This window comes from Homo sapiens, chromosome 5 (assembly GCF_000001405.40).
Source record: "Homo sapiens chromosome 5, GRCh38.p14 Primary Assembly".
In the NCBI taxonomy this organism is placed as follows: Eukaryota; Metazoa; Chordata; class Mammalia; order Primates; family Hominidae; genus Homo; species Homo sapiens.
Window position 1 is genome coordinate 79,413,553 of NC_000005.10, and position 15,680 is coordinate 79,429,232.

General features: G+C 36.0%; 1 protein-coding gene across 5 annotated transcripts in view, besides 1 other annotated feature; it reads right to left on the reverse strand.

Annotated features, from left to right (window-relative positions):
* Window positions 1–15,680, reverse strand: part of HOMER1 (homer scaffold protein 1) — a 141,499-nt gene that overhangs the window by 40,917 nt on the left and 84,902 nt on the right. The window contains exon 6 of one of the 5 annotated variants that reach the window (XM_017010059.3): window positions 8,694–11,682. The exons of the other annotated variants lie outside the window; for them this stretch is intronic. Coding sequence (XP_016865548.1) covers window positions 11,643–11,682 — 40 coding nt within the window. The 3' untranslated portion in view covers window positions 8,694–11,642. Of the gene's footprint in view, window positions 1–8,693; window positions 11,683–15,680 lie in introns of those variants that run through there. 5 annotated transcript variants of the gene reach the window in all.
* Window positions 2,913–2,962: an enhancer, noted in NCBI's record as "active region_22724". NCBI's record gives its function as "activates an Ori minimal core promoter by ATAC-STARR-seq in GM12878 lymphoblastoid cells {active_cell/tissue: GM12878}" and the evidence as "EXISTENCE:reporter gene assay evidence [ECO:0000049][PMID:35858748]".

Sequence of the window (15,680 nt, forward strand, 5' to 3'; positions counted from 1 at the left end):
GCCCAACAGGTAAATTTTCAACCCTCACGCCCCCACCCCCTACCCCCATACCTTCCCTGTATCTTCCTCTTTTCAGCTTCTTCTTTCAGTGCCTGGAACACTAAATAAATATTTGTGCAATGAATGAATAAATTTTAACGTAAAAAAAAAAAAAACTACTTGTGTGCCTGCCGCCTTCTGGGCTAGGTGCTTTCATATCAGCCTGTTGGCCCTAAGCTATAATAGGTCATCTTAGAAACTAATGACATCTTCAACAGTTTAGGGTCTGAATTTTTCTTTATAAAAGTTAACCTTTTAAAGGAAAGAAATGAAAACAGAGTAATCTTGCATTATTTATAAATAATACTTATTGTCAAAAGGACCTAAATGAGTAGCGATTTCAGGTCCTGCTAGGCAAATAGCCTAGTATATGAAGGAAATTTTCTATTAGATATAACTGAAAGTCTCCATTTGTCAGCAAGTCATTAACTTACTAAACACAGTACTTCTTGGGATCCTCTCATCAGATGTTTACATTGTTCTGTTCTTTTTTTAAAAAAAAGTTTATTATTTTGAGATAGGGTCTGGCTTTGTTACCCAGGCTGGAGTGCAGTGATGTGATCACTGCAACCTCTGCCTCCCCCAGGCTCAGGCAATCTTTCCACCTCAGCCTCCTGAGTAGCTGGGACTACAGGCATGCAACCATACCTGGCTAATTTTTGCTTTTGTTTTTGTTTTTTTTTTGTACAGATGCAGTTTTGCAGTGTTGTCCAGGCTGGTCTCAAACTCCTGGACTCAAGCGATCCACCCTCCTCAGCCTCCCAACAGTGCACCTGGCCTGTTATTCGCCTGGCCTGTTATTTTTAGAGACAGGATCTCCCTCTGTTGCCCAGGCTGGAGTGCAGTGGTGCAAACATAGCTCACTGCAACTCTGAACTCCTGGGCTCAAGCAATCCTCCTGCCTCAGCCTCCGGAGTAGCTGGGACAAGAGGTACATACCACCACACTTGACTAATTTTAAATTTTTTGTAGCGAGGGGGTCTTGTTATGTTGCCCAGGCTGGTCTTGAACTCCTGGACTCAAATGATCCTCCTGCTTCTGCCTCTCAAAGTGCTGGGATTACACACATGAGCCACTGTGCCTGGCCCTGTTCTATTCTTTATACTCCTGCTGGCACCTGCTTCTAAATGCCACCTCCTCTGGTCCTTGTTTTTTTCTTAATGTATGCCTTGATAATCTCCCAGGTTTTACCTTCCATCTCAGACTCCTTCTCTGCCTAACATCCACCACCTTTGCAACATAGCCTGGCATGTCTGGATCAACATACAATATAGTTGGCTATAGGTAAACAGATTGAGATATATGTTGACTGATGAAGTTTTACAGGAAGTTCCTATAGTGAACTAGAAATCACTTGGTCATATTCTAGGAAACACAGTGTTTAGAAGTGAAATAGAATTTAAGTACTAATACTTTTAATAAACATTGGAAGAAAATCCCAGAAATAAAAGTAGAATAGTTTCTTGGTTTTTGGTTTTTTGAGACATGGTCTCACTCTGTCACTCAAGCAGGAGTGCAGTGGTGCAATCATGGCTCACTGCAGGCTCAACCTCCTGGGCTCAAGTGATCCTCCCACCTCAGTCTCCCAAGCAGCTGGGAATATAGACAAGTGCCACCACGCCTGGCTATTTTTTGTATTTTTTTTTTTTGTAGAGACAGGGTTTCTCTATGTTGCCTAGGGTGGTCTCAAACTCCTGGGCCCAGGCAATCCACCTGCCTCAGCCTCCCAAAGGGTTGGCATTACTGTGCCTGGCCGAGAATAGTTTTTAAAGAAACAATGTATCACCAATGTTACTGATAGCACAAAAAAATGATATCGAGGTGAAAAACATGGACATAAATTGTAGTCATAAAGTGAATCAGAAGAGCTGGACCCTGCATATGATGAAGTTATAAGAACACCTTAAGCCATTTATTTTACATATATTACATGTGTACAAAAGAGGCTGATATTAAAATCTATGTCCACGTAAACCTAAAAGAGTTGTCATAGTCATAGTTTAATTGACGATATTTTTTCTTGGTGTATCGTAGATCAGATAAAATACAGAATTTTACTCAGCTCTGGTAAAGAAAGTGAAACACTATTGACTTTTCTGAGGAAAATTAATCTGAAACAAATTACTTCAAAATGTATAATGTATGCCTTTATCACTCTATAAATATTTCTGAGTTTCGAAGAATTTTATTAAACATCTGTATTAAGAATCAATTGCTGTAACAGCTGGTTAAAAGTTCAGGCTCGAATCTGATGACTTGCTTCAAACTATGGCTGTAGTCATTTAATAGATATGGGCCTTGGGCAAGTTACCTAACCTCATCAGGTCTCAGTTTTCTCATCTATAAAATTAGGGTTATTAACAACTATCTTTATAGGGTGATTTTGAGGAGTAAATAGCCTATGTAAATGTACTCTTGAAGACAAAAAATGGGACACTCAGATGGTAGTACCTTCCATATATGCAGTCAATAAAGAATCCTCAAAGAATCTTCTGCAAGCTGCTAAAAAGCCGAAAAGATTTAACATTAAATATTTTAAAGTGGCTCCTTTTGATTACTGATGTAAAGAACAGAAATAATTTAAATCAAACCCAGTCAATGATTTATATTGTATGCACTCAATGATTTATATTGTCATTCTTAGTACAGATGTATTATTTATAGCAAGTTTAAACCTTTTATGTAACCTCAGAATAAATTTAGCAAGTTAATGAAGCAATGAGAAAATAAGTAAACAGAAATGATTCTAAGAAGTGGTATGGTTAATTTCTGATTGTGAGAGGGGAGAAGGGAATCTATGTTATGTGTACTCCATAAAAACACTCTGTACTTTAGTGCATAGTTTCCCATTTGATTTGAGAGAGCACAGCAAAAGTCTAGCTCTACTTCCATTTTTATTTGCTACAATGGAGAGTCCCATAAGAGGGCCCGAGAAATGTCCTGGTTCCTGTAACTGTGCTTCTAGCAGTAAGAGCAACATTTCTATGTGCTGATGGGCAGCTCCATTGGAGATGGCTCCACACTGTAACATCTGCTAACATCTGTGCACTGCTTGCCTGGCACAGTGCCTTCTGTAGTCTTTGCCACATGCCCTAATGTAGCTGTGGCTGAGGAATGGAAATACAAGGGTGAAGAGCCACAGGAGGTCCCAGTTTCACTTCCACTTTGTATCCTCGCTGCTGGTTTCTACCCATGATACTCTAAAGCCTCTTAAGAAATTCCCTTTGAAAATTTTAAGCAGCTTATCCTCTTTTAGGAAGGAGATGTGGATACTAACTTCTTGCTCAGGGATATTTGTGAAAGGTTCAAAGTGCCTTACAGGTGTTTTAAATACTTTAACGTAAATCATAGTTTCCCTACATCAGTGAATTTGGAAGGTTGAGAGCCAGATCTAAGGGAAGGGAATAAAAAGCTATTCAGTGGACCTACTGCTAGTTCCTAAGTGAGAAGAAAAACGAATTGACCCAAGGTGATGCTGTGAATTATGTATCTACTAGATTCACAAAAGTCAGTATTTTTGTTGATTTCCCTATTTCCCCTCCCCGCACCCCTACTTTTTTTTTTTTTTTGAGACGAAGTCTCGCTCTGTTGCCCAGGCTGGAGTGCAGTGGTGCAATCTCGGCTCACTGAAAGCTCCGCCTCCCGGGTTCACGCCATTCTCCTGCCTCAGCCTCCTGAGTAGCTGGGACTACAGGGGCCTGCCACCACGTCCGGCTAATGTTTTGTATTTTTAGTAGAGACGGGGTTTCACCGTGTTAGCCAGGATGGTCTCAATCTCCTGACCTCGTGATCCGCCCGCCTCGGCCTCCCAAAGTGCTGGGATTATAGGCGTGAGCCACCGCACCCGGCCGATTTCCCTTCTTAAAAAACTGACCATTGATTAAAAGCTTTCTTTGGAAATTTATTCAGGAAATGATGTTAGACTATTCCACAGTGGGATGTCTTCAGGAAATCAGTCTTACATACTAAATAAAAAATTATGTTTCTTTCAACTCTTATGAATATACATCTATCTCTTGCCAAGAATGAGATCAGTTAATTTCAATCCCATTCTCTTATCTACAGGGTAATAGCATTATAATCATTATAATCTATTAAAGATAGAAATGAATGTTTTTATCTGGCCTTCTATAATTTGATTTAACTTTGGAGACAAAAATGCCACTATTTCCTTGCAGAGTAGGTCACTTAAGGAAAATTCACCCTAAAAATTGTACAATACATAGTGTTGTTGGGAAATAATAATTTAAACGATAAAAATCTCTGTTGGTACTGGCAGAATTGAAATGATGCTTATTAACAGATTTTACCAAAGCTAAAATTGTGTGAAAAGATATGGATAATTTTACAGTAAAATCTGTTTCCAGATTTCCATCTTTTAGAAACCAGTAGTAACCAATAATTTCATTAGCCATGATTTGAATCAGAAAACTTTTGCATTCAGTTTAAATTTGTTTTTGAAGAGGAGGCCAGAATCAAAGGATATAACATCGAATTATTTAAATGTTTGTTAATAGCATGTTACTTGTGGCAGAATCATCCCTACCAACTTCATTTATTAAATGCACATATAAGCTATGTAAATAATATGCAAAGGTAAGGGCCCTGATGAAAAGTATTATGCAAATGAATTCTAAGCAAATGGAGATGATAGTAAGTGAATACAGCCCAGAATCAATAATAGCTTAGTCCACTACTGATTGCGCAGCTATTATCAAAAGAGGCTTTTTTTGGTTTTCCTTCTAAAGCCTTCCTGATCGGCCTCGATGGAAGCAAAAGTCTCCTAACTTTACTGGCCAATGTGATGAAGTCTGGCTGTATTCCAACTCCAGATTAGTTCAGCAAGAGTCACCACTTTAGCTACAGAAAAACAACACGACAGAAATCCCTTTCAGCGGACATTTGCTTTGCTGTTTTTCCAGTACAGTGACAGTCTTGAGCATATTACTCACAAAAACTCAGCTTCCCTTAATCTAACACCCTCTTTTGTAATCTGTGACTTTGAAAGAATTTTTCTTTGTATGACATTGTCATGTATGATATCTGGACCAGTGACTTGGGCTTCCTTTAACCTAAGTATGAATTAACTAACACAGGCTATTAAATTCAGATGCTGTAATGGATGGGTACTTTGTCTTCCATACCACAGCAATATTAAGACGCCCACCCGTAAGGTTTTTCAAACTGAACTACAATGTCTTTTTTCACATGTGCTATTCCTTTGCTCTGTTACCTTAGGGGTAATTTACAATTGGCTATATGCAGTTATATATAAGGGTGTTGAGAATGCCACACAGAGATCACTGAAAAATAGGTGACTACTTTTAAACTAGTTTAGAATATGCTGTAATCAAAAGGAAAAGTTGGGATCAAATTATTTAATAGCCTGGTAAAGTATGGATTAAACAGATTTAAGTTATTATTCCAAGGGCCTTAAATATCATTGCAAAATTTGCAAAACATATTTCAAAATGCAGAATAGTTACAAATATGGATGGACAAATAAAATAGAAAGGATGTCTATATTTTTTTTTAAGGATATGGAAATAATAGACATCTATCATTAATACCTGAAAGACTTTACATTGTAGAGATGGATGACTGCATGCTTTGCCTATATTTATATGAAAAGTAAATAATTTTACAATAGTATATGAACATGGATATCTGTGGAACTACTTCAGGCCTTACTATTAACATTTGCTAGACTGCTTTCTATGGATGAATGCAGATTCTACTAAAACTAGACTCTAAGTACTAAAATGTGCTTCTATAGGTTTACTTAGCTTATTAACAGCTTTCAGAAAACCATCCCAAATGACCACATATTCCCAAGCTTGAGAGGGGCTTTTATCATATACATTATGGTCACCCATATTAGTGAACTGCTTACGTAAAAGTTTTATGAGCTTGTGGTAAGTGGTATTTTCCCTATCTTTCAACCAGTTAAATTATATCTCTGTAACTATTACTTATTTAGAGAAAACATACTAAAGCCTTAGGAGACATTCTATATAGATCTGGAAGCGTATCTGCCATGCTGAGTATTCTTCAAGAATAATATTAAAATGACTTGTGGCAACAAACTTCATATGCAAGCTAAAAAATGTTAATCTTTTCAGAGTAATCACTCTTTCAAATGCATTTTTGTAAAAGTGAATAAATTCAAGAAGAAAAACACTTATTCTAGATTCCATTTACTAATACTACTTAACATGATATTCACAGAGGATCTTAACAAACAGTGCTAAATGACTTCTGGATTTTAACACGGAAGTACCTCTTCCTTAAAATTTTTAGCAACTGAGAACTATATGACAAATTTCTATACAATTTGGGCATTTATATATCTTGACTCATGGGTTTCATTTGGAGAAGATGTAAAATGATTAAAGAAGCATTCTTTTTTTTATCTGCATTACGATTTGCATTTCTAATTTATTTAGACATGTGATGCTAGTATTGTGACGGTCATGTACAACTAAATAGGCTATCAGTTTGTGTAACTTCTGAACTTAAGCAATCAATGTATTAAATGTAATAAATCAACATCTATTGTCTTTTATGTATCTGATATTTTGGAGGATACAGATGTTATTGGCTAGTGAACAGAAATATCTTTATTTCTTCCTATTTCCTTACTCTCAAAGCTAAATAGTGAACAATTCTCTCATTTATTCCATCCCAGTCTTTATAGATTCTTTCCAGTTGTCACTACCACGACCTCAGATGAGGGCACTAAAACACCTAACTGCTTCAAAGGCCAAAGCAGATGCCCCTCCCTCTGCCAGAAGCGCTCCTTCCCCACTTCACAGGCCAACTTCTACCCACTGGAAGGATGAGTTATGTATGACTCCACAAGGAGCCTACTTTCATGATCCAGCCATACCACCGCCTGCCCTCTTCCCTCACTTTGATCTCTTCTTTTGTGGCACTTTCCATAACAGTAATTATATAGTTATGCAATTATTTCTCTTATTCCCCCACTGAAGTTTAAACACTATAAGAACAGAGACTGTTTACCTGTTCACTAATGTTTGCCTGGCACTCAAATATTTGTTAAAACTGTAAAGGAAGTATCACATCAGAGAATGTTGGAGTAATCATGGAGAGAGCTTGGGGACTGTTCTTAGAGTTTCCAGAGCACCCCATGGATCACTACCTCCACATCATCCATACTGGTTATATATTCTGCTGTCTCATGAAGCTCCTCGAAGGCAATCTTATTCACCTTTCACCTGGCACAAAGACATGCTCCATACATGATTTTGAACTAAGTAGTATTAAAATGGACCTATGCCAAAGAGTTGCTCATGCTCAGTCTGGACACTAACTGCTTACATGTGTGTGCTCATGGTGATTTTAGATGCATAACTTGCTAGTTAAATGATTTCTAATTCATATGATTATATATGTATACAACATGCCTACAAAATACTCCACAAAGATAACTGTGCTTTCCAGGTACTCCCAGACTCTTGATATGTTTCAGTCACTGGTTTACAATAGAACTACTTTTGAGCTCTTTATTTTCAAATAAAATTTAGAAACTATTTTTGAACTATTAGGGCAATATTTTGCAGAATACCTTTGAAGCTATGTTACAAGTTTCAACTTTCTACTTCCAAGAAATGACTTTTGTTACAAAGTGCCCCCAGATGCTGTAAGGTTGAGATACCCTTACATTCAAATCCGAAAACTTGTAGAACAAGTGTTCCAAATGTTTAGTTATGTTATGCTGGTTTCAGAAACATAAGCTTAACTCTCAGTGGAACTGAAAGCTTTAGCCAGCTACTTGGTAAACATGCAGACTGGATTCTTAGCTATACTACTAAATCAATAGACAAAAGAGCAAAGAAATAATATAACATATAAGGAAAGTTTACTATGGCCTATAATCATGTAAATTACCTTAATCTAAGATTCTCTAATACTTTTGCTTTGTAAATATAAACTACCAGTTACATAATCAAGAATACTATGAGCACACACACACACACTAAACCCTGTTATTTTTCTTTTTTTTTTTTTGAGAAGGGGCCTTGCTCTTGTCGCCCAGGCTGGAGTGCAATGGCGCAATCTTGGCTCACTGCAACCTCCATCTCCGGGTTCAAGTGATTCTCCTGCCTCAGCCTCCCGAGTAGCTGGGATTACAGGCACCCGCCACCATGCCCAGCTAATTTTTTTGTATTTTTTAGTAGACACGGTGTTTCTCCATGTTGGCCACACTGGTCTCAAACTCCTGACCTCAGGTGATCAGCCTGGCTCAGGCTCCCATAGCACTGAATTACAGGCATGAACCATCGGGCCTGGCCAATACTTTTCAATGTAAATAGTTATAAAAATCAACATAGGCCGGATGCAGTGGCTCACACCTCTAATCCCAGCACTTTGGGAGGCCAAGGAGGGTGAATCATTTGAGGTCAGGAGTTCGAGACCAGCCTGACCAACATGGTGAAACCCTATCTCTAAGAAACATACAAAAATTAGCTAGGCATGGTGGTGCACGTCTTTAATCCCAGTTACTCAGGAGGCTGAGGTGGGAGAATCACTTGAACACGGGAGACAGAGGTTGCAGTGAGCCAAGATCGTGCCACTGCACTCCAGCCTGGGTGACAGAGGGAGGCTCCATCTCAAAAAAATTAAAAAAAAAAAAATCAACATGACTGTGCTGACTTAACTGAAATACACAGTTATTTTCTTAAATAAATTAAATGCCTACAGACTCAATACTCATTGAATTTCAACTACACATTTTAAAGATTCATAACTTATTTTTGCATCAAATAGTGAATCAATATTGTTAATTATCATCTTTTTTATATTTGGTCTCCATATGGTGACTTAAAATTTCTTCAAGACAGGTTAAGGAAAGACTGAAGTACAGAAGCAAGGGATTAAAGTTCTAATTCTGGTACCTATCTATAGATTTTAGAAAAATTCCCTGACCATATGCTTTGGATTTTTCTTCCTGAAAAAGCAGAAATTGTATCCATTCTACTTCTCATGAGACAATTGTCAAAAAAAAAAGAAAAAAACAGTAGAGATAAAACTATAAAAAATAAAAATTATGAAAACACAGGATTAAATATAAACCCAAGTAGGCCCTTTAATGAATAGACTTCTATACACTATACCATCTAATTTTTGGAAGTACTAAGGATAGTGTTCACTACCTAGCATTTAAAGTTTTATACTAATATTGCTGAATAAATGGACTCTTAAAAGATGATCTCTTTTTTTTTTTTTTTTTTTGGCTAGTCAAGTAAAACAGTGGGAGTGGAGACAAGATGATCTCTTAAGGAAGAAACATGAAGAACAACAAAGATGACCTTTCTCTCATTTGTTATCACTAACTTCACTGAATTAAAAACAAGTGATAGTCTTCCCTGGTCCTTTTGGGTATAACACTTTAAGTTAGTCTAGAACTTACATCAAGGACTGTAAGGTATGATTCACAGGTGAGATATCAAACAACACTACTTGAAGCACTAAATGTCTACAATATTTCCAAGTATAGCAGTATGTAAAAGTTATTAAATGCTTACATCTTGCTTTCCCAAAAATGGCATAATTGACTTCACTATTTTCCATTGATCAACACTGTGTTTCAAAGAGAGCCACTAGACAGCACAAGTTGCATTCTGGTTTCTTTTTGCTGGTTATGATTTAATACTGCTAAAATCCATCCCCAAGTATAGAAGATTTAATTCAATCTATAAGTTTGAATCTATAAGCCTAGCTATTAGCATTGTAGTTCAGAAATTTATCCCATTATAATAATCTATTTCAGGATACTATGAAGCTATGCGGTCTCTTGTGCTAATTTTACATTATTGTTGAAAAGTTGTAACTGATGGATCACACATTTTTAATCCATGGTGCCATCTGGAAGGAATTTCAGTAATTTTAATTATGTGTGTGCATAATGCAAAAGCATAGGACACTACTTTTTTTCTAATGTTCTATTTAAAGACAGAAATGGCTAATCTGCCTTATGTAATGGGTTCTTTTATATAGCACAATAACATTATCGGTGTTTTAATGATTATAAAGGCAGTACTAAGTCTCATGCTCAGCCATGGAAGGCCGTAGGTGGACATCTTATTAATTTCCTAGACTAAAGGCAGGATCACTTTAAGATAATCAGGATAAGGAGATTCAGAAATCATTACCCACCTGACCACCCCTTTTACTTAATATATGAGGAAACTGTAGCTCAAAGAGATAAAGTCTTTTGTCTAAGACTGTGAACACGACTAGTGGCACAGCTAGAAGAACCTAAGTGCAATCCCTTCATTTTTGAGACAGAGATGATGGTAGGAATGTCATATTTTTAGAGACCAACATGACAACAATGACAGACCATTGTATTATTCACATTTTCTCCCAGGAAATTATTTTCTCTTGAATTTTATTAGGTTCAGAACACATTCTATAAACTAGTCCCATAATAAAATGGGAACTGGTACAAGAAGCCCTTCTAAGTTTTAAATACCAGAAAAGCAATACTGTTAAGGTAATGACTAATTCTGTTATATTTCTTCCTTATTTCTAAAGTACGTTTTCACCAACTTTAATATTTGCTTTCTATAATAGAAGAGCACACATCTTGTATTAGTATCATATTTTGGGGAGGAAGTACCCTTTCTCTAAATATTTTAATCAAAAAATAACTTATTGGTGTTAGATTCCAGAAGAGGTATGAATAATTAAATCTCAACTAAATAAAGGGGGAAACCAGACATTTTTACTTTAGCTTTTCTTTAATTGTATAAAAGCTCTTGGTTAAAAAAAATGCAACATTCCATGCAAATTATTCTTTATACAAGGATATGCATCGATAAATCAAGTACAACTGCATTATCTTCCATTTAAAAATGTTACCTAATGTCTATTCATAACTATGGGAAAGCATTTGTAAATTCTAAAATAAACAAAAACTTATGATTATAGAAACTACCCACAAGAGTTATTATTTCTAAACTTTTCTTAGGAACATTTAAAATTTGCCTCACAACATCCCTGTGAGGTAGGGAGGTAAGTGTTCTCATATGACAACAAACCAAATTGATCAAAATATTAGTATCTGGTTACATGTAGAAAACTGGCTATATTTTTAAATCTTAAAAAGAAATGGCATCTATGAGTCAGTTCTACAAAGAAGTCCAGGAAGATCAGGTTGCTTATTTTTGACTATATTTATCAGAAATAACAGCTATTTTGATTTTCAACCAACAGAAATCTTTCTCCATCAAAGGCTTTTAAATCTTCCAAAAATTAGCAGAGCAAGTATAATGGCATTTTGCCAAAGAAACAAAACACGGGATGCCACGCCAAGTCATTCTCTTCTTCCTCTACATGGAGATAGCTTAAATGCTATCTAGGCATACACAGGAATCCAAGCAGTTAAGTGTCTTCTTTAAAGATACTACTTCTTTTGACTCTTCCATGTTAAAGCTGTGATGATTGGGTCTTTTTAAATTTTCATGTTTCTTCCATGTTAGTTTCTCTCAGTCAGGGACTATTTGCATCTTGTCAATTAGGAAAAATTGTAGATCCTCTTCTTCCACAAGAAATGGTGACTCCACTAAGTTCCAAAACTAAAGATGATCAGAGAAATCATCCACCAAGGGAAACTGGCTGTCTCCGGAGTAGGAAAAAAAAAAAATCTAACTTGGAGAACTGATCTTTTCTGTCTCTCAAAAATATATCCAGTAGATATCAGGATGTAAGAGAATAAAGAGTCCAGCTTTTCCATAAAAAGGCAAAATGTTCAAGCAGAAAATTTTTAAAAAGTGGTAACAGGGGAAAGGGAGGAGAAACTATTTAGGTGTGTTATGCTTTTTCTTTATTACTTACTGTTCAAGATAATTCTCTCTCTGCAAAAAACCCAGATGTGATAATATGTCTAGTATTAGTTCAAGGCTGAACATCTAGTAGATCACATGGGTTGCGAGACTTCGAAGATAAAGTACAGCTAAAGATCAGCTTCCTTCCTCGCTATGGAACCTAAGACTTTCTGACTATACGTAATAATGACAGAACAGTTTATCTGTTTTAAAAAGGTGAAAAGATATAACTACTAATAGTAGCAGTGTTCTTGGACTCAGGTAACATTCCATGACATGGTTCTTCACATAACTTAACAAATTACTAGTATCCATTCTCTGTAACTCTAGAGAAAAAAAAAATCTATTATTTCGTAGAGCCAAAGAGACCTTAGGTGGTCTCTTTAATAGTAACTTAGATTGTGAGTAAAGCACACCCTAAAATGATCTAATTAGAAAAAGCAAGTAAGCCATAAGACCAAATATGCTTTCTGAAAACACTTTTGCTAATATAAAGTTCCAATAGCCTTATGTTACAGACACCGATGCAGCTATGAAGGGAACCTTTCTCCATTAACTATGTCACATTAAATGTCATGGAAAACCTTAATTGATGAAAATTGAAAAAAAAAAAAACCCTTTAGTGTGTCAGGTAAATGAGACTTGAAAGATTTGGATTTATTATCAAAGGGGCAGAAAATAGCAAATGCTGGTGAGGATAGAAAGTGGAAAGTTTGCACCCTGTTGGTGGGAAAGGTATATTAGTACAGCCACTATGAAGAACTGTGGATGTTCCTTAAAAGACTAAAAATAGAACTACCATATGATCCAGCAATCCCACTGCTGGGATATCTAAAAGAAAGGAAATCAGTATATCAAAAAGATATCCGCAATCCCATGTTTACTGCAGCACTATTCATAACAGTCAAGACATAGAATCAACCTAAGTGTCCACCAATGAATGGATATCTACAAATAGTACCACACTGTGTATATGTGGTACTATATGTGTTACATATACACAATGGAGTACGATTCTGCCATAAAAATGAATGAGATCCTGTCATTTGCAACAACATGAATGGAACTAGAGAACATTATGTTAAATAAAATAAGCCATGCGCAGAAAGACAAATGTTGCATATTCTTATTCATATGTAGAAGCTAAAAAAATTGATGCCATGGAGGTAGAGAATAGAATGGCTACCAGAAGTTGGGAAGGGTAGTGGGGAGTGGGAGATAAAAAGGGGTTGGTTAATGGGAATAAAAATAGTTAGATAGAAGAAGTAAGATCTAGAGTTTGGTAGCACAGTAAGGCAACTATAGTTAACAATAATTTATTATATTATCTCAAAATGACTAGACTAGAATATATGGGGAATGTTCCTAGCACAAAGAAATGATAAATGTTTGAGGTAACAGATATTTGACTACCCAGATTTGATTGGTAAACATTGTATGTTTGTATCAAAATATCACATGTACCCCAATAAATATGTACAACTATAATGTATCCATAAAAATAAAAATTAAAAAAAAATTGGGTTAATTTAGTGACTTAATTCTGCACTTTGTACATACAGCAGCCTTTAAAATGTCCTTTGACATAATTATGGCATTGATATACTGCTTGAAGGTTAATATACAAGTATGCTGAATACTCAAAACTACATGTATCCAGAAAAACAAATCTTCTATAATAAAAACTAGGTAGAACACTGTCTATGTAAAACAAGTATTGACCATATAATTGGTCCTTTAAAATAATCATCAGCCGACATTTATATAATGCAATAAGGAAAAACACAAGCTAAGTCTTTTTCTAGAGTAATAATTACACTAGAAATCAGAGTTATTTGAAATGAATAATTTTTAGAATGTGTATTTTTATTCGTATTTAATAAGAACATGCTTTATATTCATTGGAATAATCCTATAATTTATCCAGTTTTTTTTTGTATTTGTTTGTTTTTTGGTTGTTTTTGGGGCAGAGTCTCGCTCTGTCACCCAGGCTGGAGTACAGTGGCACGATCTTAGCTCACCACAATTTTCGCCTCCCAGGTTCAAGCGATTCTCATGCCTCAGCCACTTGAGTAGCTGGGATTACAGGCGTGCACTACCACACTCAGATAATTTTTGTATTTTTGGTAGAGACGGGGTTTTGCCATGTTGGCCATGGTATGTTTACAACCTTCCTTCCTTCCTTTCCTTCCTTCCTTTCCTTCCTACCTTCCTTCCTTCCTTTCCTTCCCTTCCTTCCTTCCCTTCCTTCCTTTCCTTCCTTCCTTTCCTTCCCTTCCTTCCTTCCCTTCCTTCCTTTCCTTCCTTCCTTTCCTTCCCTTCCTTCCTTCCTTTCCTTCATTTCCTTCCTTCCTTCCTTTCCTTCCTTCCTTCTTTTCCTTCCTTCCTTCCTTTCCTTCCTTCAAGGTTTTTTTATATTATTTTCTTTCAATTAGAAACAAATTAAAGGAAAAAAATCAACTAAACCTCTTTAAAAATCAGACAGCAAATGTACCCCCATTCCCTCTCTATAAGAGCTACCTCACCTATTTTGGAGAGAGAAAATGCTAGAAGACAGGAAGGTTTCATATTTTTACATAGGAAAACTGATACTCAGTGAAGAGCTCTTAAAAACAGTGATATTTTAGTAAGAATTCTTCCTCTTTAGTCCAGTTCATTTTTCCTTTAAAATAAACCATCAATTAGCTTTTAAGAAATAAACATAAGAAAGCATATTGCTCTATTTGTCAATGAATAAATTCCTAAAGCCATCAAGTTCTGAGGGTATAAGAGGAAATCATTAATCAATAGGAACAAACATTAATAGAAAAAAACAAACACTGAAAAACTAGGAATATAGGGGAACTTCCTCACCCTGATAAAGAGCATCTATGAAAAACATACAGCTAACATCATATTTAATGGTAAACGACTCAACGCTTTCCTTCTATCAGGAACAAGATTAAGAAGATGTCCACTCCTGTCACTTCTATTCAACACTGTACTACAGGTTCTAGCTAGAGCAATGAGTTTAAAAAAAAGAAAAGATATCCTGATAGGAAAGGAGGAAGTAAACTATCTTTATTTACAGATGATATAATTTTATATATAGAAAATCCTAAGGAACCCACTAAAAAATGATTAAGACTAATAAATGAGTTCAGTAAGTTTGTAGGATACAAGATCACTACACAACAATCATCCTTCCATATACTAACAATGAACAATTCAAAAGTGAAATTAACAAAACAATTTCATTTATAATAGCACCAAAAAGAATAAAATCTGAATACATTTAACAAAAGAAGAAAATCTATACTCTGAAAACCAAACAACATCACTGAAATTAATTAAAGAAGCTCCAAATAAATGGGAAAACAGCTCAAGTTCATAGATCACAAAAGTTAACATTAAGAGGAACATTTTGGCCGTGAGCTCCAAACTGATCTACATATTCAATACAATACAATCCTTATCAGAATCCCAACTGGTTTCATTGAAGAAACACACAAGGAAATTCATATACAATTTCTAGGCACTAAAATTCATAGGGAAATTCTAGGTACTGAGGAGTCAAAACAATCTTGAAAATAATACCGAAGGGATCATACTTCCCAATTTCAAACTTAACTACAAAGATACATTAATTAAGACAGCGTAGGCCGGGCACAGTGGCTCACACCTGTAATTTGGGAAGCCAAGGCGGGAGGATCACTTGAGGTCAGGAGTTCAAGACTGGCCTGGCCAACATGGTGAAATCCCGTCTCTACTAAAAATACAAAAATTAGCTGGGGGTGGTGGCGCATGCCT